Here is a 23,973-nt window from a genome sequence, read left to right as displayed (position 1 = left end):
TTTGACCCACTTGTCAGCCAAGTTAGTCACATTTTGTTTTCTATCACTTATGTTGTAGAAATCTTTTAAACATTACTTTTCTTTTTTTTTTTTTTTCTTAACTTTTAGGTTCATGGGTACATGTGCAAGATTGTTGTGTAGGTTAACTGTGTGTCACAGGGGTTTGGTATACAGATTATTTTGTCACCCAGGTAATAAGCATAGTACCTGATAGGTCATTCTTTGATCCTCTGCCTCCTCCTACCTACCACCCTCAAGTAGGCCCTGATGTCTGTTCCCCTCTTTGTGTCCATGTGTTCTCATCATTTAGCTCCCACTTATAAGTGAGAATGTGCAGTATTTGGTTTTCTGTTCCTGCATTAGTTTGCTTAGGATAATGGCCTCCAGCTCCATCCATGTTGCTGCAAAGGACATGATCTTGTTTCTTTTTTATGGCTGCATAGTATTCCATGGTGTATATATGCCACATTTTCTTTATCCAGTCTACCATTGATTGTCATTTAGGTTGATTCCGTGTCTTTACTAGTGAAAATACTACTTTTTGTGGTGTATTAATATAACTGATTTATACACATTTCTCACTCTCTGGAATAGGTTTATAAGTCTAGTACCAAGCATAGGACCTGACACAGAGTACTTTCTTAATAAGAGTTTGTTGGATGAATGTATGAAAACATTAGAGGTCTTGGTGAAGGAAAAGCTGGTCACCATTGAATCTAGTGGATTCCACAGGGAAAAGAGCAGCTTCCCGTGTTGAATGTGTCCGGTTAAGTATGAGAAGCAACATTTCTGATTGCTCTGAAAAGTATGATTAAAGCACAAATTATTATGGAAAAATAATGGTTTAGAAGTATAGCATTTTGGTATATTTGTTCATTTCTTTTCTGAAACATTAATTAGCTAAGGTAAAGATGAGGATTTTGCTATATGATAATCAAACTAGTATCAATGAAAATCATCAATATTAAAATGAAAAGTTAGAAAATTGTAGTAAATGGGATAGACAGATGAAAGCTTAATATCTGTATTATAATGAGCTAATATCACTGATCAGAATATCAAGATCTACATAGAAAATTGGGTAAATGATGACCAGGCGCAGTGGCTCACGCCTGTAATCCCAGCACTTAGGCCGAGGCGGGCGGATCACCTGAGGTCAGGAGTTTGAGACCAGCCTGACCAACATGGAGAAAACCCGTTTCTACTAAAAATACAAAAAATTAGCCAGGCGTGGTGGTGCATGCCTGTAATCCCAGCTACTCGGGAGGCTGAGGCAGGAGAATCGCTGGAACCTGGGAGGTGGAGGTTGCAGTGAGCCGAGATTGTGCCATTGCACTCCAGCCTGGGCAACAAGAGCGAAACTCCGTATCAAAAAAAAAAAAAAAATTTTTGGGTAAATGACATAAGCAAGTATGGATACTTGATGAAAATGTGAGTATACACTATTTTAAGAGTCTTATACTCATATCCTTTGACCTAGTCACCCCACACTCAGAGTGTTACTTTTAAAAAATAAAAATTTAAAAGGATAATGCTATAGACATGAAGTTTGAGACTCCATCTCAAAAAAACAAAACGAGAAAAAAGAGGCGACATAGGGTAATATGCTAATTGATGGAACTAATAAATAAAGATATAAGGATATTATTTTAAAGGTACAAAGATAACTAGGAGAGAAGCTGAAAATGGTGATATAACCATAATAGCAAGAAAGGAAGATAAACTTTCTTTATCTTCTGGGCTGTACTCTCATGTGTTAAAGAAATCAATGATAAGAAAAAGCAGTACACATATATTACTTAGAGACCAGAAGAAGCAAAAATAGGAACAATTAAATAATCTTAAAATGTGCTGGGCGTGGTAGCTCACACCTGTAATTCCAGCACTTTGGTAGGCCAAGGTGGGAGGATCGCTTGAGTTCAGGAGTTCGAGACCAGGCTAGGCAACATAGTGAGACCCCATTTCTACAAAAATAAAAATAAAAATTAGCAGGTCATGGTGGTGCATGCCTATAGTCCCAGCTACTCAGGAGGCTGAGACAGGAGGATCACTGGAACTCAGGAGGTTGAGGCTGCAGTGAGCCGTGATTGTGCCACTGTACTTCAGCCTGGGCAACAGCCTATCTCAAAACAAAATAATAAAAAATGATAATTTTTAAATGGCTTCCTCTGAAAGAACTAAGAGAAAAGTGAGGCAGGGGACTGTTGCTTTTCACTATAACAGTCTTTTGTCCTCCTCTTTTTATTTATTTTATTTTATATTTTATTTTTTGAGATAGAATCTCACTCTGTCACCCAGGCTGGAGTGCAGTGGTGCAATCTCAGCTCACTGCAACCTCCGCCTCTCAGGTTCAAGCGATTTTCATGTCTCAGCCTCCCAAGTAGCTGAGACTACAGGCATGTGCCACCATGCCTGGCTAATTTTGTATTTTTAGTAGAGATGGGGTTTCACCACGTTGGCCAGGCTGGTCTTGAACTCCTGACCTCAAGTGATCTGCCTGCCTCGGCCTCCCAAAGTGCTGGGAATATAGGCGTGAGCCGGGTGTCACTTTTCTGGCTGGAAACCTCTGTGGCCTGTGGCGCCTTTGCCCGAGTTTTGCTCGGGCCCACTGGGTTCGTTCTGCCCACTCGGCCTGGCAGGCTGCACTCGGTTCATGCTTCCTGCCTGGATCCCATACCTGCCAAGGGCAAGTCAGGCATAAAGCGGCAAGGGGTGTGTGAGCAAGCGTGGGGTTGAGCCACTGTGCACGGTCAGACACGCTGGCTGCTGCTGCTGCAGGGTGAGCAGCTCCAGGTTGCCCGCACAGGCGCCAGCCCTCTGCAAGGCTGCAGCTGGACCAGGTGCACTGCAGACAGCTTCTCTGGCTGGCATCAGGGTATGCAATAGTGCCCAGAAGCTTGGAGATGCCAGGAACCACAGGGCCCCAAAGAGAGAGTCACAGCCCCAGCTCGGGTAGCTCCCAGGTCTGGGCTCCCCAAAGGACCATAGCTCTTCTCTCCTTTTCCCCCACAACGTGGTGAGCAAGGGGCATGTTTCAGCCCTATTTGTGTTACAGCTCTTTTAGCCTCACCATTCAGCGGATCTTGAGTTCTTGTCCTACATCCAGGAAGAATGAGGTATACAGACAAGTGGAGGGTGAGCAAGATGAAGAGTAGCTTTATTGAGCGATAGAACAGCTCAGAGGAGGCCCACAGTGGATAGCTTGTCTCCATAGCCAGGGTGTCCCAGCGAGTGTTCAGCTCTCAGCAGAGAGGGTAGTGCCTCTCTGTGGGTAGATTGTCCCATCCTCCCTCCATCCTCTCAGCAGAGAGGATAGTTTCTCTCTGCAGCTGATTGTCTCCCCTTGTCTCTCCATCTTCTGGTCTTGCTGAGCCAGCAGTTGTTATGGGCTTCAGTGGGGAGGAGGTGCTGCTTGGACCATGGCGGCCATTGGCAGGCCCAGGGAAAAGCACCACAAGTTACCCCTCTGGTCCATGAGACTAGTGGCCCGAACCCCAGGCTTCGGGCCCTCCCCAGCTTGAAGGTGGGGCTTCACCAGGGACTCGCCCCCTTCCACCCAGGAGCCTGTCTACCTTCTGCCACCATTCATGGCGCCCGGGCTGTTTGTGCCAAGGGACGCCTACAGGCCAGTGCTGAGCTGCCCTCAGCACCCCCTCGGCCTCCCTCCTGTGCTCATCGGTGCCCAAAGTCCAGAGGGGGCTGAGGTGGCAGGGGGCTGGCATGTCAGTGCTACCCTGAACGTTTGCACACCCAGCCAGCGTGCGACAGCACGTGGGCTCAGCCCCATCCTTGCTCCGAGGTCGGAGTGGCGCTGGGAGAAGAGAGAGGCTAGGCAGCGGGAGCAGACACCTCTTAGCCTTTTGGGGGAGGGGGACCTTCCTGGATCCCCAAGAGTGCAGAGATGTTTCCGTCTGCAGCTGCAGCTTGGTAGCTGCAGCCACGCCCAGCTCCTGCTTGGCTCCATGGATCGTGGCACTGCCCCGGGCACAGCTCTACCTCGGGGCCCTTCTCTGTCCGCCCCTCCGTGCCCAACCACGCTGCTCCCCCACCAGCGGGTGACTCGGCCCAGTCCCATCGTGGCGGGCTTCAGGGACTGACCACCTCCTTCCTGCTGCACCCTTTCCACAGCAGCAGCAAGGCAAGAGCAGTGACGCGGGGCCAGGGTCAACAGCGGCAGAGGCTCCGGGCCTGGGAGTGGGTCCTGCCTGGCCCCGTGAGGCTGGGGACGGCACAGTCAGCTGCCTCGGGGACATGGGGCACAGGGGTCCTCTCCGCCGCCACTACTGGCCCTGCAGCTGCTCCCACCGCCACGGCCCACGACCTCCTTCCGCCACAGCCAGCGTGATGGCAGCAGCTGCTCCCACCGCCACGGCCCACGACCTCCTTCCGCCACAGCCAGCGTGATGGCAGCAGCTGCTCCCACCGCCACGGCCCACGACCTCCTTCCGCCACAGCCAGCGTGATGGCAGCAGCTGCTCCGGGCTACAAAGAGGCGATGCTGCCAGCATTGTGACTTTTAGAAAGGGAAACCAAAAAAAAAAGAAGGAAAGAAAGAAATAGAAGGATCTTGAGAACTCACAGTACACTCTACTTGAAAAGCCGGATGGCTACAGACATTTCTAAGACGTGGGACTTTCTCCCAGATCTTCTTACTCCATAATTGTATACATACATGCACATATATGTGTGTGCATGTGTATATGTCCAGATATAATATTTAACATTTAATAAGGATTTATTTTGAAAAATAGTTTCAGACTTTCAAAAAAGTTACAAGAATAAAAGTAGTTTAAAAAAAGAGGATTTGTGGCCAGGCGCGCTGGCTCACGCCTGTAATCCGAGCACTTTGGGAGGCTGAGGCGGGCGGATCACCTGAGATCAGGAGTTCGAGACCAGCCTGACCAACATGGAGAAACCCCATCTCTACTAAAAATACAAAATTAGCCAGGTGTGGTGGTGCATGCTTGTAGTCCCAGCTACTCGGGAGGCTGAAGCAGGAGAATCACTTGAACCCGGGAGGCAGAGGTTGCGGTGAGCTGAGATCGTGCCATTGCACTCCAGCCTGGGCAACAAGACCGAGACTTCGTCTCAAAAAAAAAAAAAAAGAGGATTTGTATATTCTCCACCCGGACTTATCTGTGTCAACATTTTACTCTACATGCTTCATCACTCGTGCATAGACTTGTTTCTTCTCTCTCTCTGTCTGTGTGTGTGTTTTCTAAATCATTGGAGGATTGCATACATCACGGCCTTTACCTTTAAATACTTCGTTATATGTTTCATAACAATATGGAGAAGTATTCTCTCTTGTAACCACAGTAAATTTAACATTGATACAGAACTTTAGCAATAAGATTAATATTTTTCCTATGATAGGCTGTCTCCCTTCAGAGTCTGTCACGTACCTGTTTCCTTTTTTCCTCCCACTCCCCTAGCCTTCTGCTGTTTACCCTCATTCTCTCTACTTGTTTTTGCTCTTTTGTTTTGAGGTCTTTCGGTTTATAATTATTTGGATATTCCTGAAGCTTAAAACACAGACATACACTTAGAGGTAAAAAATTTACCAGATCCTGCTTTGGAAGAAGTCTCTAGTTCCTTTGATTTTCCAAAAAAGCAGTGGCACTGTTGAGTCTTTGACCTTGCTTTCAAATAATAAATTTTATGAATATGTTTCTGAAGGTTTACCAACTTTTTTTCTTTTCTCTCTTTTTCTACTCTGGTTTATAGTTTGAAAAAGTACCAGAAGGTCCTATCCCTCCATCTACACCAAAGTTTGCATATGGAAAGGTCACTTTGGAAAAGGTAAGAAAAAAAAATAACAGAAACTTTGAAAGTGAGAGATGGGAGTGAGAAAGTGGAATTTAGTAGCAGTGAGTGAAAGTGCTGTGCTGGAGGAATTGGTTCGTTATTTTTCTGCGAATTTGTTTTCTGCAAGCCTAATGGGGTAAATGATGTTTCTGGGAAAATGGGGAGAGAGAGGTGAGAAGATACTCATGCCTGTTGACAGGATGAGCAGATGAGACATGGGTGGGAGTAGTAGGCATTCTTGGATCATTTGGGTCATCTTGGTTCCTTTATCAGTGGTTTAAACAGTGTCAAGTGCCTTTGTGGAAATAACATGCCACCTCATTGTTATGGCTGCCAAGGCTCTTTGTCGTATTTACCTTTTTTAGGAGTTCCCCAAAATCACAGGCATTTTGATAGACCTCTGCCCTAAATTATATACTTACCTCCATCTCAAAGTCATGTCCTAATTTTTATGGTCTGTGGTTTATACGTTAAATGGGGACACTGGGGGAAAAGCTAGAAATCAATCATAAATAGGAGTTAAGGGCAATGTATTCTAGGAAAAGCGAAAAAGAAGAGAGGTTTTACTTAATAGTCAGAGGAGTGACATAGCCAAAGTCAATTTGTTTTGACCATCTGTGTCTTCAGGTTTTCCCCTTTTATAATCCCTAACTCCTACATGTATTAACTCACAAGAAAAAAAAAAAAGAACCGTTACCTATTTCTTAAGAATCTCGATATCCTAAAATAGTATCGTAAGTTTTTATCTTCAAGCAAAATGCCAAACATGATTATGTAATTTTTCCATCCAAGAAGCCCTTTGACATGGTTGGTTGGTTGAGTTCTTATAACATTTTCCACCTAGTGTCAGATACCTGTGCTACATTCTACAAAGAATGTGGTCTTTCTGTCTGATAAGGATCTTTCTTTAGATTAATCAGACTTCAGTCACTCTTGTAAAGGGAGCACCTTCTACTTGTTCATTGCTACAGCTACTTAAGGAAAACTTTGGTTTGTTTGTTTCAGAGCCATGACAAATCTATTTTTATGCAACAGAAAATAGCTCCAAATGTTCAAAACAACAACATTGCTAAAACCAAGCTAGCTTATTACCAAAAGCACATTCTGTTTACCGTGAAGGAAAATTGTGTGAGCAGAAATGACTTTTTATTTTTAAATAAATATATACAGTTGAAGATAGCAAATCAGCATATAACTGAATTAAGTTTATGTAGAACACAGTTATATAGAAAATAAGTTTTTACCGTGAGTTGAATTTCTTAGTGTTCAGGTGGGAAAACACCCATATGAGTAGCTGGCTTGATGAAATTGTAAATGAGATTTTTTTCCTTGATGCTGCACATCAGCAAGGTAACCATGGGAAGTGTTTATGAAATTCCTAACTGGGCTGGGCATGGTGGCTCACGCCTGTAATCCCAGTACTTTGGGAGGCCGAGGCGGGAGGATCACCTGAGGTCAGGAGTTCAAGACCAGCCTGGCCAACATGGTGAAACCCCGTCTCTACTAAAAATACAAAAATTAGCCAGGCATGGTGACACATGCCTGCTCAGGAGGTTGAGGCAGGAGAATCACTTGAACCTGGGAGGAGGAGGTTACAGTGAGCCAAGATTACGCCACTGCACTCCAGCCTACCAGCCTGGGTGACAGAGTGAGACTCTCTCAAAAAAAAAAAAAAAAAAATCCTAACCAGTATTATAGTCATGGAAAATCCTGGGGTTTGGAGCCAAATCTAACTACAAATCCTGGCTCTGTCATTACTCAAGTGGACTTCTGTGAGTCTCCACAACACAGGGACAGTAGTACCTGCCTCACAGGGTAGCTGTGAGTATTCAATGAGCTAGTGCATGTAAAACGCTGTATCTCATCTGGAGTGTGTAGACAGGCAATGACTGGTAGCTGTTATTATTATTGTTGTTATTGCATCAGAATAAGTATCCTGGGTTGCAAGAATACACAATCCTTTGTATTGAATATAATAAATACTTACCAGGCATTTACTATGTTCTGGGCATTGGGGCTGAGAATGGAACATATCTTATCCTTAAGGAGCTGACAGTCTGGTGAGGAAGACAAAGATGAGCAACTGAAAAGTGATACAGGCATGGAAGATATGCCACACACAAGTTCAGAGGAGGGTGAAGTAACTAGGAAGTATTAAATATTAAGGTGATATAATAATAGCATGTCTAATCTTAGTTGAATGTAACTGGCCTCTGGTTACTACTTTTACTTCTTAGTTGTTTTACTCGGGGGTGTTCAGAGAGGGTTTATAAGGAGGCAGCATCTGAGCCTTCGTTTTCATTCATTTTAAGAATCTTTTATAGGTCTCTGAGCAGGTTGGACTTCCGAATAGGTATGTTTGAAACCTTTTTAAGACTACTATCATTCATAGTTTTCATCAGGAGTTAGGGAGTAGATGGAGAGGACTGAAGGAGACTGGGAAGCAATACTGAGTGGAATTTGAATGATTTAGGTTTATTTAGGGGTTTGGTCAAACCCACTGATGTCTTTGATAATTAGGGAATGACTCTGTAACCTGATGACCAGTGAGGGGTGCAGTGTGTGAATGCTGCTTTTGTTTCTTTTCAGTTAAAGACAGTGGGAGCAGCTCTGGACATTCTGTGTCCCTCTGGGCCCATCAAAAGCCTTTATCCCTTGACATTTATCCAGGTGAAACAGGTAGGCCTTCAAAGGTAATGCCTCGCCTTTTTTCTACTTGCAAAAGTGTGCTTTCTGCACTGCCTTGCAGTGCCCATTCTGAATTCAGGGGCCAAAATGGTAAGCAAATGCATCAGATCCCAGGTAAATGAACCATGAATTTCCAGGCTCTCTTTAGCTTGAAGTGCTGCGTGGTGGGCTGATCATGCCTATATTTTTTGCCCCACTTCTTCTCACTCATACAGGAGGTAGCCCAACCTGCTTCAACATAATTCTGTACAAGTTATAAATTGAGTTCACTGACCAATCTAATTAATCTTTATTACTAGGCATCAGTGGAAGATCACTGTTTTAATACTCAAAACAGACAGTTTAATTATTTGTTCTTAGTTCAATGGCATAAGGACTGTGTTTTTTGGTAGACTAGGTTCTTTGAGATTCTTTTTCCTGCTTTTGAAGAGAACAGAGCACATCTTTTTTTTTTTTTTTTTCAGTGTTTGTATATGTGTATGTGTTTGATCTCCAGACACTGCCTCATCTTTATTTTTTTAAAGTTTTTCCCAGCATTTTGTTTTGGAAAATTTTAAATCCAAAAAAAGTTGCAAGAATAGTACAATAAACACCCATATGCTTTTTACCTAGATTCACCAATTGTTAACAGTGCTTTAATTGCCTTTTTCTCTCTGTGTATGTAGTCAACTGCTTTTCTTTTTCTAACCATTTGAGTTATCAGCACCATGTCACTCCACAGCATACATCTTTTAAGAAAAAGAACATTATCCTGCAGAACCACAATACAATGATCACACATGAGAAATTTAATATTGATGCAATCCTATTATCTAATATAAATTCTATAGTCAAGTGTCCCTGGTCATTGCAATAACGTCCTTTACAGCTTAATCTTTTCTCAATCCAGTTTCCAATCCATAATCACACATTAATTATATTCTCCTTAGTCTTCTTCCGTCTGAAACTGTTCCTAAGTCTCTCTCTCATGACATGGACATTTTTGAAAAGGTCGGGGTGTTTGTAGACTTTGCCTCACTAATTAGATTCAGTAAGACATTTTGGACATGAACACAACAAAGGTGATATGTCCTTCTCAGGGAATGATAGCAGGATGCCCGTGAGACCAGCTTGTCCCTTAACTGCAATGTTAAGCTTCATCACTTAGGATCTCAGCCCCATGTTTTGAAATGGAAGGTTATCCACGTCCTCCTTTCTGATTTTCTGTGGCAACCACCTTCTGGAAGGAGTCTGAACAGTAAGGCAAAATAATAACAGCATATCTAATCTTAGTTTAGTGAAGTTTGCTGTCAGTTCCTGTTTTTACACCTGTGATTTTATTCCAACAATTCTATTTTGCAATAAAATGAATAATTAAGTCCCCCCACCACACACACATTCACTGTTTCATGAACGTTGTATAGGGTACTCTGCAGTCCTAGCACCCACATCTATAAATGGAACTTACCTGCACTTAGCAGAGCTGTTGAGCACTTCAGACAATGATCCCAGAGCACGTGTAGCCTGGGGAGGGAGTTCCAGGTTACTATATGAACACGTGCAGCCATTGTTCTTTCTCAGACCCCTTCTGCTTTCTGATCTTTGGCCAAGGTAGTGCTCTCAGATTGGGTGGGGCTTCCTGGGCCCTGGCTCTTTCAGATCTGGGGCAAGTCCACAGAATATCTATTTCCAGCAAAAAACCCCAAAGGGCACAGACTTCAGGGAGTGGGGCTCAGCCTACTGTCTCTGCAGGGATCCCCTGAGCCTCAGCCACACCTGCCTGGGGAGCATCACAGCTTCTACCCCTCCTTCTGGAAGCCCTTGACAAAGCTTTCCTCAGCCCTTGAGGAAACTTACCACTTTAGCTAGTTTTCAAAATAAGTAAATAAATGAACCAGAAGGAGATGGAGATGTGGAGCCTGGGCGGGAGGTGTTCTTGCGCTAGAAGGTTTGTGTGGTCTTAGTAGCATTTCTTGTGCTCAGCTCATTCCTGCAACACAGGAAGGTGGATTAGTGCTCTCCTCAGCTCCTCCCAGTCACCTTTCCACTTGCCTGAAGTTTACTTTCTTTCTTTCTGGGCCCTAGAAGTAGGGAAACTTTTCTCTGTTCCATGCTGGATCTCTATTTGCATTCTGTTCCATAACTGGATTTATGTCCCAGCTCAGCCCTGCTAATAATGTCCACAGCAGGAAGTAAATAAGCAAAGTCAATAACTATAATTCTGTGGATTATTATGTCAATAACTATAATCTGTGAATAATTCCGTTACTGCTGAGGCTGATTGTTTGAGGCTTTCCTTTTGGACCAGGGATGTCAGCATCTAAAAATATTTTCTGACTTAGTGGTTGGTTACAATCTAGTCTCTTAACTGTTTCTTTCCCCCGTTCCTCCACTTAAAACAGTTCTGATGGACTTTGTTGTTATTATTATTATTATTAGAGATGAGGTCTTGCTATGTTGCCCGGACTAGCCTCAAACTCCTGGGCTCAAGAGATCCTCCCCAAGTAACTGAGACTACAGGTGCATGCCACTGCACCCAGCTCATTGCCTTTTGTTTTGTATGTTAAAGCAGATTTAGCCCATGAACTTGGAGACAGTTTTGCTGAGCAGAACTTCATCTCTTGGCTTTGCTGTTTGTTTGCCTTGTTTTTTTGTTGGTTTTACTTAGTTTTGTTTTTGGAGCTAACATCCATAACTTTTGCTATGTATGATATAATCCCCTGTATGACCCTGGGCAAGTAACTTAACCCATTCAGGGTCCAGGTTCCTCTTATGGGAAAGGGATGCTTGATAAGACACTGTTCATGGTTCCTTGCAGTTTACTATTATGATAGATATTCGATGACCTAAAAATTAAACCAGTTTCCTTTTTCAAATTTAATTTTTTCGGGAGGTGGAGGAAGATTTTCATTCCTTATGGTTTGAGAAACATCGCTTTCATACATGTCTAGGGTAACCAAGTTCTCTAAATGAATGGCAATAGTGATGTATTTTTCTTAAATCCTTTTCTAACCAGCATTATGGGTTTGTGCTGTACCGGACAACACTTCCTCAAGATTGCAGCAACCCAGCACCTCTCTCTTCACCCCTCAATGGAGTCCACGATCGAGCATATGTTGCTGTGGATGGGGTAAGAATCGTCTCTGAACTGTGCGTTTTGTCCCAGTGAGGGTGGGGATGAGCAGCCTGCACTTGTTAACACAGCATTTGGGGTCTTTGCTCACCTTTTCAGCCTCAGGCTCTACCCATCATCTTTTTTTTTTTTTTTTTTTTTTTTTTTTTTTTTTTTTTTGAGACAGGGTTTTGCTCTGTTGCCCAGCCTGGAGTGCAGTGGTGCAATCACAGCTCACTGCAGCCTCAACCTCCCAGGCTCAAGTGATCCTGCTACCTCGGCCTCCCAAGTAGCTGAGACTACAGGGGTGCACCACCATGCCTGGCTAATGTTTTGATTTTTTTTGTAGAGACAGGGTCCCACTATGTTGCCCAGGCTGGTCTTGAACTCCGGAGCTCAAGTGATCCTCCTGCCTCAGGCTCCCAAATTGCTGGGATTACAGGCATGACCCACCACGGTGGGCTCCACCCCTCTTCTTGGTGACCCTTAGCTGTGCCTCTTGCTTGCTGTGAGGCCTCATGCATGTGCCATTTGCTGAAATCCACCCTACCCACCATCTTAACCCAGAGGGCTGTGCTTGATGCGCCACCCTCTCAGAAGCCTTCGGGGTCTCCCCAGCCAAGGCCGCCCTTCTGTGACTGATGTTGCCTGTGCTTTCTTTGCTCCTTAAGGGTGGGGTCCATTTCCAATTCAATTTTGTACCTGCCACTGTACAAAGTTTGTTGAACTTCGTGCCTTTATCCTACATGAGAAATTATATTCTGAAGGACTGCTCGTGACAACTATTACTGAAATGCACAAAGAACCGTGTTTCATAACAAAAGCAGATGCATTTCAGGACTTCCAGTCCTCTCACCGAAATGGTCACAGGAAGGAACACAGGAAAAGATTTTCTTCACCAAGAAAATTTGTTCAGAAGATTTTAAAATATTTCCCATTCTCTTGTAATCAACAGCTTTCATTTCAGTGGGAGCAGATTACTAAGACATTCTGCTCTATTGATGGTGACTGTTTCTTCGCTTCTAACTTGGGTGTTGTCTTAGTGAATTATGATCATTGTAAGGTCAATTTTTAAAGTCTAACCTTTTAAAAAGTTAGGAATATGTTGTTGATAAAATACCTGTTGTTTTTCCTCATTCTGTTGTATGATTTTCGTGGTTAATGCATCATGTCAAGTATTTTGAGGTGAGAATACTCCACCTAACTTCTCTGATTTTATCTCTTTTGTCTGATTTTGTCTTATCTCTCCATGTTGTTCAGAAGCAATTTTTTGTGAGTGACTTTTGTGCTGTCAGAACACGAAGCAGCTACTCTAGTAAGAATCCTCCCCTGGAATTTTCCACTAAAAGTAGTTGGCAGTAAAACATTCCAGGGCAAAGGAAACCAGCTTAGACCGTTCCATGCTCTGAGCTGTGTCTGGCAGTTTTCCTGTTTAGGAAGCAGTGATTGGGGGATCTTTCCGACCTGGCCGGTAACTTGGGCTAAGATGCTATCAAAGCATTTCTTTCCAAGTCTGGTGACACTTCAAGGCAAGAAAATGAGTGCTAAATTAACTGAGCATGCTGCCTCTCCTTGCTGACCTTCTTACCCTCAATTCAATTGTCATTTGGTCTTGAACCCCACAGATCCCCCAGGGAGTCCTTGAGCGAAACAATGTGATCACTCTGAACATAACAGGGAAAGCTGGAGCCACTCTGGACCTTCTGGTAGAGAACATGGGACGTGTGAACTATGGTGCATATATCAACGATTTTAAGGTAGGACAAACCACACTGTCAAGACTAAGGTTTAAGGGGTGACAACTTAGAAGTTGAAGCCCAGTACAGTGGCTCACACCTGTAATCTCAGCACTTTGGGAAGCCAAGGCAGGAGGATCACTTGAGGCCAGGAGTTCAAGACCAGCCTGGGTAAAATAGTGAGACCTCTACAAAGAATTAAAAACTTAGCCAGGTGTGGTGACATGCACCTGTGGTCTCAGCTACTCAGGAGGCTGAGGCAGGAGAATTGCTTGAGTCCAGAAGTTGGAGATTAAAATGACCTATGATCATGCCACTGCACTCTAGTCTGGGTGACAAAGTGAGACCTTGTCTCAAAAAAAAGAAGTAGTTGAGCTATTTTGAAGAGCTGTTTTCCTCTGTAGGTGATGAGAAAGTTGAGCTTTGCAAACAGAACCTTTCCCCTGTGTTTGAGTTTGGTCATCCTATAGAAAGAAACAGAAGGAGGAAGCCCCTCCACCATGCTTTTCCTCTGCTTTAAAAGACCACCAAGCTCACTGAAGGCACTCCTTTGCCAGTAAAGCCAGCTGAGCCTCTGTTCTGCCCTGTTTTATGGGTTTGGATGGTTAGCCTGTGGCAAACTCTTCACTTGTAGGAAGCCTCTTCCCTTGGGGCACTGGCTCTCACCTCTGTTGATTACTCCTGTGTCCAGATGTGTAGCCCAAATAAGTTTTTCTAACACATATTTTTAGAGCATTATTCAGCAAGCATTTGTTAAGCTCCCACTCCGCGAGATGCCCCACCAGGTGCTTTGGGGAATGCAAAGGTGTCAAGAGACAGGCTTCTCTCAGGGAGCTCAACCTCCGCGAGAGGAGAGAATGCCTTATCAAGGGAACAATGGCACCACCCAGGCTAGGGCAGGACAGGTGTCTGGGGCTATTTCCTGACCCTCTTGAGATCAGGCAATTACATCTTAGGGAACTTAGGGAATAGCTGTGTGCAGGCCACCTTTGCCTCCAGTATAAATGTCTCTCTCATAGTTCTTGTGCTCAGGGTGGACTTCATGGCCTCCTGCCTGGCTCTCACAGGCCACATTGACCCATGGGAGTGACTCGACTCTGTTGTGTAGTCTCTGGGTCTCCAGTACCTGTCAAAGAGCCTGACATACAGCCACCTGGTTAATATTTATCAAATTATTAAATGGGCAATCGAGACTTGGTATCTGGGATTCCACTGGGAATGGGGAAGTTCCCTACATACAAGCCAGGGAAGGGGAAGTTAGCTGAGCCTTGACAGCCCAGCCCTGGCCTGTGTGGAACAAATAGAGCAGCTTCTGAATTCAGGTCTGAGGTTTGCCATCGTCATCATTACCTTCCTATCCTCTTAAGGTATCACAGTATTCTCATGTATGTTATCTCACTTGGCCCTCATAACAGGTGAGTGACTCGGGTGTGGTCCTCCCTGTGATGATGGCTGAGGTGCTCAAGGCCAATATTTGCTCCTGGCTGCATCCGTCGTACCTGCTCCATCCGCAGTGGGATGACTATTCCTTTGTATCCCACACTCACTCATTCCTTCTGTCCCCAGATTCCATCTTGAGACAGGATCTTGCTGTCACCCAGCCTGGAGCGCAGTGGCACAATCTCGGCTTACTGCAACCTCTGTCTCCTGGGCTCAAGCAATCCTCCCTTCTCAGCCTCCCAAGTAGTTGGGACTATACGTGCATGCCCCCACACTAGGCCAATTTCTGTATGTTTTGTAGAGACTGGATCCCTTTTTGTTTTGAGATGGAGTGTCGCTCTGACACCCAGGCTGGAGTACAGTGGCGCGATCTCAGCTCACTGCAACCTCCACCTGTCAGGTTCAAGCGATTCTCATGCCTCAGCCTCCTGAGTATCTGGGATTACAGGCACCTGCCACCACACCCAGCTAACTTTTGTATTTTTAGTAAAGATGGGGTTTCATCATGTTGGCCAGGTTGGTCTTGAACTCCTAACCTCAAGTGATCTGTCTGCCTTGGCCTCTCAAAGTGCTGGGATTACAGGCATGAGCCACTGCGCCTGGCCCATCTTTCTTGGTGCCCATCTTTCTCTATTCTAGCAGTGGCTCTCAGCCAAACTCTGAAAATTTGGGAATTTGGGATCAATCACTCTAGCAACTCAATGCCCTTTCTGTAGAAGCAGAAACTCTGGGCCTTTTATAGAGACATCATGACCTGCAAAGGAGAAAGCTATAGTTTGGGGAATATATCTCTTCCCAAGGATTTGTAATTCAACCTCCAGTTAGATCTGTGTTACTTCGATGTACACATATTTCGAGGTTCATTTCCTGTTGGTGTTTTGTATCCCGGTTTGCTTTTCCCATTTCCCTGGAATGCAGAGACATGTGAAGCCTTTTTCCTTCCCTCCCCAGCTCACTGTGCTCTGTTTCTGCTTTGCAGGGTTTGGTTTCTAACCTGACTCTCAGTTCCAATATCCTCACGGACTGGACGATCTTTCCACTGGACACTGAGGATGCAGTGTGCAGCCACCTGGGGGGCTGGGGACACCGTGACAGTGGCCACCATGATGAAGCCTGGGCCCACAACTCATCCAACTACACGCTCCCGGCCTTTTATATGGGGAACTTCTCCATTCCCAGTGGGATCCCAGACTTGCCCCAGGACACCTTTATCCAGTTTCCTGGATGGACCAAGGTACGTGTCTTCATGGGAAGGGTTTGAATTCAGGCCTAAACTTTTGGTTGTTAGTGTCTGAGAAAGAATCACAAAGAGCTGTTAGTGAGATATCGTGTGATGGTTTTGAGTGTGGCGTTTCGGACATTCTTCAGGAGGCGGATTGTGGCAGATCTTCAGGGATTCAGTGGCCAGCTCGGAGGTGCTGCCATCTGCCCCCTTGTCATTGGCTTCCTGTAGTGAATGACACCATCCTGCCTCCTCCAAGAAGAATCATGACCCCTTTTGATGCTGATTATAGGGGTGCTTTCTCTTTATCTTGAGGACAATCCAGTCAAGACAAAGAGGTGGATCCCTCTGGGAGAGTCTGTCTGGTTTTCATTTATGCCAAGCCCAGTGCTCCCAGAATATCCCCACCTGCATCCAGCCCCACACCCCTGGGGCTTCTATCATAAGCTGTCTGCTTCTCCACTCTTCCTCATCCATTTTCACTTCCCAGTCACTCCGCCTTGTCGTTTGAAGACATTGGCATATCTTCCTTCACCGCCTTCTCCTCTCCCTCATGTCCTGTTTTCATCCTAGATCACCTTACCATCACTCATTCAACACACTTCTCATTCTGTGGCCACTATGTGCCCAAGGTGTGTGCCAGGCACTAAGGATACAATCATGAATAAAACCAAACATGGTCCTTTCCCTCATGGAACTTTCAGTCTAGTGAGGGAGGCAGACTCATATTAAAAAGTAAAACCATAGCTGTGATGGATGCTAAGAAGGGCTATGGGGTTGATAATAATTGGTGCATTTTGCCTTGTCAGGGAGGTCAGGGAAGCCTTCCCTAAGATAGTGATGCTTGTCAGAGATATGAAGGATGAGTAAGAATTAGCATGGCAAGAAGGGAAGAAAGCATGTTCCTGGGAGAGGTAACAGCTTGTGCAAAGGCCATGGGGTTGGAGGGGAAAATGTCAAGTGTGGAAAGTAGGTAGAGACTAGATTGGGACGGGCCTTATAGGCCACGTTAAAGTTTTGTCTTTGTGTTGAGAGCCATTGAAGCAGGAGAGTGACATGATAAGACTGTGATCTGACAAGCTCCTCTGACCCCATTGTGCAGAATGGTTTGGGTAAGGACACTTATGGATTCGAGGAAACCATCTAGGAGGCTGGACCATAGTCTCATTGAGAAACTGGGATGGTGGTATCTAAGATGGAGATGACATCAACTATTTGAGAGATGTTCAAAGTTGGATCAATAAATTGTGACAATGGATTGGACAGGAGGGTTTGGGGAGAGGGATATGTCTCGGATGACTCAGGTCTCAAGCTTGCAGCTGGGCAGAATGGTACCATTTGCTGAAAGAAGCAGCTTCAGAAGGGGACTTAGGCTTAGAAAGGGGGGTCATGAGTTTGAATTTAGACCAATTGTGTTTGAAAAGCTGCCTTAGTCTATTTGGGCTGCTATAACAAAATACCATAAGCTGGGTGGCTTATAAACAACAGGCATTTATTTCTCACAGTTCTGGAGGCTAGGAAGTCTTCAATATCAGGGCACCAGTAGATTTGCTGTCTGGTGAGAGTCTACTTCATCATAGACAGCACCCTCTATGTCCTTACATGGCTGAAGGGGCAAAGGAGCTCTCTTGGGTCTCTTTTATGAGGACACTAATTTCATTCATGAGGGCTCCACCTTCATGACCTAATCACCTCCCAGAGGGGGCCCCACCTCCTAACCCATCACATGGGGGCTAGAATTTTAACAGATGAGTTTTGGGTGGACACAAACATTCAGACCATAGCAGAGGCCTTGGAGAATGGCTGGGAAAGACAGTATTGGAGGAGGGTTGTTGGATCTATAGGCTGGGAATTCAGGGCAGGGATCTGGGCCAGGAATGTATGTAGAAGATCATTGTTGTATAGATGATTGTTGAAAACATGGGCTGGATGAGGTCTCTCAAGGAGAGAGGATGCAGAGGGAAGAAAAGAGGACGTAAGGCTGATGTTTGAGGGACAAAAACATGATGAAGACTGAAGAGGAGAGACCAAACAAGTAGGAAGAAAACCAGCATTTATGCTGCCAAGAGGACAAATAAGATAAAGACAGAAGCACTTCGGTGGTTTTAGAAGCAAGGAGGCCCTTGGGAATCAGTAAGCCTTGTTCCAGTGGAGTGAAGCATCTCCCAGCCAGATTGCATTCTATAGAGAAGACCAGGGTAAGGAATACGAACAGGAATACTTGAATATAAACGTTCTTTTTGAGAAATTTAATTCTGAAGAAGAGGAGAAAATTATGTTAATAGCTGGAGGAGGAGAAGGCAAAAGATGTACATGGTGTGTGTTTAATAAAATGCCCTTTTATTTATTTATGTGTTGCTTGTTTAAAATTTATTGAAATGTATTTTCATTATTCTGTTTGAAATATTTTCTTTTTTTTTTTTTTTTTTGAGATGGACTCTGTCACCTAGGCTGGAGTACAGTGGTGTGATCTCTGCTCACTGCAACCTCTGCCTCCCGGGCTCAAGCAATTCTCCTGCCTCAGCCTCCAGAGTAGCGGGGACTACAGGCACACACCACCACTCCTGGCTAATTTTTTTTATTATTTTTATTTTATTTTTTATTTTTTGTTTTTTTTTTATTTTTATTGGAGACGGGGTTTCATCATGTTGGCCAGGCTGATCTCGGACTCCTGACCTCAAATGAAGTCTCGAAAAGTGCTAGGATAGACATCTGAATTCATTCCAACTTATAGTTATTATAGTTATTATAATACTGCTGTAAACACTTGCATGTAAGTTTTTATGTGAACTTGGCCTCGAAAAGTGCTAGGATTACAAGTGTGAGCCACCACAGCCATCCTGTTAGAAATATTTTCTACTTTCCCATATGATTTCTTCTTTGAACCATAGATTATTAAAAAGTATGTTTTACTGGGTGTGGTGGCTCATGCCTGTAAATCCCAGCACTTTGGGAGGCCGAGACGGGTGGATCACCTGAGGCCAGGAGTTCAAGACCAGCCTGGGCAACATGGCAGAACCCCATTTCTACTAAAAATACAAAAATTAGCCAGGCGTGGTGGTGAGTAACTGTAATCTCAGCTACTTGGGAGACTGAGGTGGGAGAATCTCTCGAACCTGGAAGGCAGAGGCTGCAGTGAGCCAAGAGCATGCCACTGCACTCCAGCCTGGGTGACAAAGCAAGACTGTGTCTCAAAAACAAAACAAAAACAAACAAACAAAAAAAGTATGCTGTTTAATTTCCACATATTTTGGGTTTGTAAAAATATCTTGTAATTATTAATTTGTAACTTAATTCCTCTATAAAACTTCTAAAATTTCTCTCTAGGGAGAGAAATCTCCATGATCTTGGGTTAGGCAAAGACTTCTTAGATTTGACACCTAAGGCATTATCCTTAAAGAACAAAAATTGATAAATTGGACTTTATCAGAATTAAAAATATTTGTTCTTCAAAAAGCATTATTAGGAAAATGAGAATCCAAGCCACAAACTGGGAGAAAAATAATTTTCAAATCATATATCTAACAAAGGACTTATATCTAGAATATGTAAAGAATTCTTACAATTCAATAATAGACAAACAGCCCAGTCACAAAAGGAGCAAAGAACTTGAATAGACATTTTACCAAAGAAGGCATAAGATGGCTAAGTACATTTGCATTTGTATACCTTCTTTGGTAAAATGTCTATTATAAACTAAAATTAGTGGCTGATTAATGTTCAACATTATTAATCATTTGGGAAATGCAAGTCAAAACCAAAATGAAATACTACTTCACACTCACCAAGATGGCTAAATAGTAAGAAGGACAATAGGCAATGTTGGAAAGGACATGGGGGAAAGGGAATCTTCCCACATTGCTGGTAGAAAGATAAGAAGGTACATTTGGGAGCATAGTTTGGCAATTTCTTCAAGGGCTAAACATAGATTACCATAGAACCCAGCAATTCCGCTCCTAGGTATATACACAAGAGAAAGGAAAACATGTTCACATAAAAACTTACATGCAAGTGTTTATAGCAGTATTATAATAACTGTAAGTTGGAATTAATTCAGATGTCTATCACCTGACAAGTGGAGAAAGCATGTATATCCATACGATTCCTCAATAAAAAGGAATGGAGTACTGATAACATGCCACAATCCAGATGAATTGGAAAAATATTATGCTAAGTAAAAGAAGCCAAAACTAAAAGGCTATGTATTGTATGACTCCATTTATATGAAATGTTCAGAAAAGGCAAATCCATAGAGATAGTAGCTTACTGGTTGCCTAGGGCTGAGGGTGGGAATGGAGCGTGACTGTTAAGTGGGCATGGGGTTTCTATTGGAGCTGATGGATATGCTCTGAAACTAACTTGAATGATGGCTGCACAGTCTTCTTAAATGTATTTAGACTTGTTTTATGGCCCAGCACAGGCATATATCTTGCTGAACATACCTTTGGAATTTTAGGCTTTAATATCCTCTCTCTGGCTGCATGTTTCTATGCACCAAACTCTCATGCCTACCAACCTTGCTCTTAAATCTTTTTTTTTATTTTTTTGAGACAGTCTTGCTCTTGTCACCCAGGCTGGAGTGCAATGGCACAATCTCGGCTCACTGCAACCTCCGCCTCCTGGGTTCAAGTGATCCTCCTGTCTCAGCCTCTCGAGTAGCTGGGATTACAGGCACCCCCCACCACACTTGGCTGATTTTTGTGTTTTTAGTAGAGATGGGGTTTCACCGTGTTGGCCAGGCTGGTCTTGAACTCCTGACCTCGTGGTCCACCTGCCTTGGCCTCCCGAAGTGCTGGGATTACAGGCATGAACCACTGCACCCGGCCTTAAATCTTATTAATGACCTGAAACATTCCACCATTAAGGCTGCAGTTCTTCCTCTACCAAGCCTAGGCCTTACCACAATCTTTTTTATTTATTTATTTATTTATTTATTTATTTATTTTTTAAGATGGAGTTTCATTCTTGTTGCCCAGGCTGGAGTACAGTGGCACAATCTTGGCTCACTGCAACCTCCGCCTCCCAGGTTCAAGCGATTCTCCTGCCTCAGCCTCCCATGTAGCTGGGATTACAGGCATGCACCACCACGCCTGGCTAATTTTGTATTTTTAGTAGAGACGGGGTTTCTCCATGTTGGTCAGGCCAGTCTCAAACTCCCGACGTCAGGTGATCTGCCTGCCTCGGCCTCCCAGAGTGCTGGGATTACAGGCGTGAACCACTGCGCCCGGCCACCACGATCTTTTTTTAAGAGTCATCAGTCCACCTGCCCCCTTGCCCCTTTGGCCTTCTACTCTGCCTCCTTCATTCCTCCTCCATGTAGAATGGATCCACTACTGGTGTCTCTGCTGGTTCACCAGTCACTGAGCACAGCTAAGGGACTTCTCAGCGCATTCATCGTGGCTACCATCCCCTCATTGTTGCCAGCCTCCAGAAGCCCTCAGATTTGCCCAGCAGTCCTTGGTCTCTCTCTGCTCCTTTCCCCCACTGGCCTTTTCAACCTTCAGCACCCTCCTTAAGCCACCTGACTCTCCACCCTCTCCACTGAAGACCTCATCCTCCTTGACTGCTATCAGGTGTAACTCCTTTGTTCCCTCAGCTTCCTGTCAGACTTATCTCTCTGCCTCCAACCTCATTTCCTGCCCAGTGGTATCTAGGAGGAAGTCTGAATTCTGAATCTCCTCCCCACCTTCTTCCTTCAGGGCAAGATCCTGTTCTCATATTTCCTCTACCTGCATTTTGTCAGCCTCTCCATCTTTCTGCCGAGTCCCATTTTTCAGCCAAAAAGTGGTAACTAGGAGCTCTAGGACCTAAACACAAAGAAAGCCCTCCCTGGATCTTCCCCCTTTAGCTAGCAAGTTCTTGTTCCCTCGATCCCTCTTTTTCTCCCCTCCTAATGCAGTAGAGACCAATGGAAAAGTGTGGGATGTGTTGGAGGTCAGAGGGAGGTTCATCTTGGCCAAGTCTTAAAGGTGTCACACGCAAGAGTTACTGACCCAGGCGTTCTGCTCAACGCTTTATAGACACTATCTCCGTAGCCATCAAAAGAGGCACCTGTGGTAGATGGATCATTATCTCCAGTTTGCAGATGAGTAGCTGGAGGCTTAGATAGCTAAGTAACTTGTACGAGGTACAGAAGTGCTCAGTGGCACATCTACCTGAGCCCCAGCCGTGTCTTGAAGGCCCATGTGAAAAAGCAGGCAGCATTGAGAACCGGTGAGGAACTCATACTCATTATCTAGGCTGGGGCTCTTTACTTATTTGGTCAGTCTGATGAATGCTCTGCATCTCCAGGCTTGAAAGTACATCTCCACACAGTATTTGTGAATGTGTCAAAGGGTTCAGACCCCCAAAAGCCCATCTAATCCATATGTCCACTCAAACACTTGTACACAACTGTTCATTGCACCGTTATCCATAATTGCCAAAAGGTGGAAACAGCCCAAATGTCCATCAGCTGAGGAATGAATAAACGAAATGTAGTACATCCATACAATGGAATATGATTCAGCAATAAAAAGAAATGAAGTATTGATACATGTTACAACATGGAAGAATTTTGAAAACATTAGGCTAATGAAAGACGCCAGTCACAAAGGACTGTATGTTGCATGATTCCATTTACATGAAATGTCCGGAACAGGCAAATTCATATAGACAGGAAGATCTGTGATTGCCTAGAGCAGGGAAAAGAGAGTGTTGGTTGGATGGGAAGAGAATGTTAAAGGGTACAGGGCTTCTTAACGGAGTGACGAAATGTTCTATAATTGACTTTGGTAATGGTTGTGCAGCTCTGTAGTATACTAAAGACTGCTGAATTGTATGGTATATGAATTCTATGTCAATAAAGTGCCACACACAAGGCCCATCCAAGAAGTTTGTGGACTTTGGACTGAATGCGTGTGAAGGTCCAAGGGTACACACACATCCTACCTAACACAGAACCAATGTGGTTTCTGTTTTCTGGTGCACAGTGGTCCCTGCTGCTGGGGACAGTCCCAGGCCAGCTCTGGGGCTTCTAAATGATCAGCCACCTCAGAACAGGCAGATCCCACTCCCACACTGAGTGCTAAGCTCTGACATTTGAAAGAATGAGCACGTTAGCACATGGTTTGAATGCAGGGAGCTGGCAGTTGCGGTGTGGGGTTGGACAAAATGATCCCTGAAGCCCCAGCTGTTTCTAAGGCTGTGCACTAACCCCCACATCCTTCATCAGGAGAGGCCCTTGTCAAAGGCCCTGGCACAGGACTCTATGCTCTTCCTATTCATTTTACTGTAAAGAAACTACCTTGATTTAGAGAGCAAAGTCACTGATAAGGGCGATTCATAAGATTAAAAAATCACTTTTGTTTACACTGGCTTTACTTGAGTCGGATGTGGCTTTCTGGTTAATGCCAGATGTGAATGAATATCAACTGGGACTTCAGTAGAAAGGGGTCAGGCATGTTCTGCTCTGTCCAGCAGACACAGGGCAATGCTTTGACCTCACTGAGTTCTTATCTGACTGGAAAGTCCATTAGATAGGAAGCGTTCTTCTCCAGTGCTTTCCACAATATGTCCTGTATGCCAGTGGTCCCCAACCTTGTTGGTATCAGGGACTAGTTTCGTGGAAGACACTGTTTCCATGGACTGTGTGGTCAGGGGTGGGGGGGTGGAAATGGTTTTGGGATGAAACTGTTCCACCTCAAATCATCAGGCATTAGTTAGATTCTCATAAGGAGTGCACAGCCTATATCCCTCGCGTGCGCAGTTCACAATAGGGTTCCTGCTCCTATGAGAATCTGATGCTGCTGCCGATCTGACAGGAGGTGGCGCTCAGGCAGTAATGCTCGCTCACCTCTCACTGTGCGGCCCGGTTCCTAACAGGCCGCAGACCAGTCTGTGGCCTGGGGTTTGGGGACCCCTGCTATATGCCAAACCTGAAATGTCATGTTCTGCCACTGCAGCAGTGCTTGTGCTATTTATCTCTCTTTCAGCTGGGTGTGGATAAG

The 23,973-nt window shown here is 44.5% G+C and overlaps 1 protein-coding gene across 5 annotated transcripts in view; it reads left to right on the top strand.

Annotated features, from left to right (window-relative positions):
• The window catches only part of GLB1 (galactosidase beta 1), a 136,039-nt gene that overhangs the window by 67,094 nt on the left and 44,972 nt on the right, over nucleotides 1-23,973 (top strand). For all 5 annotated transcript variants that reach the window (NM_001393580.1, NM_001135602.3, NM_000404.4 and 2 more), the window contains 5 exons: nucleotides 5,728-5,802; nucleotides 8,398-8,487; nucleotides 11,492-11,605; nucleotides 13,213-13,344; nucleotides 15,743-15,997. In NM_001393580.1, the coding sequence (NP_001380509.1) occupies nucleotides 5,728-5,802; nucleotides 8,398-8,487; nucleotides 11,492-11,605; nucleotides 13,213-13,344; nucleotides 15,743-15,997 (666 nt within the window). The remainder of the gene's footprint in view (nucleotides 1-5,727; nucleotides 5,803-8,397; nucleotides 8,488-11,491; nucleotides 11,606-13,212; nucleotides 13,345-15,742; nucleotides 15,998-23,973) is intronic.

This window comes from Homo sapiens, chromosome 3, assembly GCF_000001405.40.
Source record: "Homo sapiens chromosome 3, GRCh38.p14 Primary Assembly".
In the NCBI taxonomy this organism is placed as follows: domain Eukaryota; kingdom Metazoa; phylum Chordata; class Mammalia; order Primates; family Hominidae; genus Homo; species Homo sapiens.
Note: the sequence above shows the minus strand (reverse complement) of the source record. Positions and strands in the feature narration are given on the sequence as shown.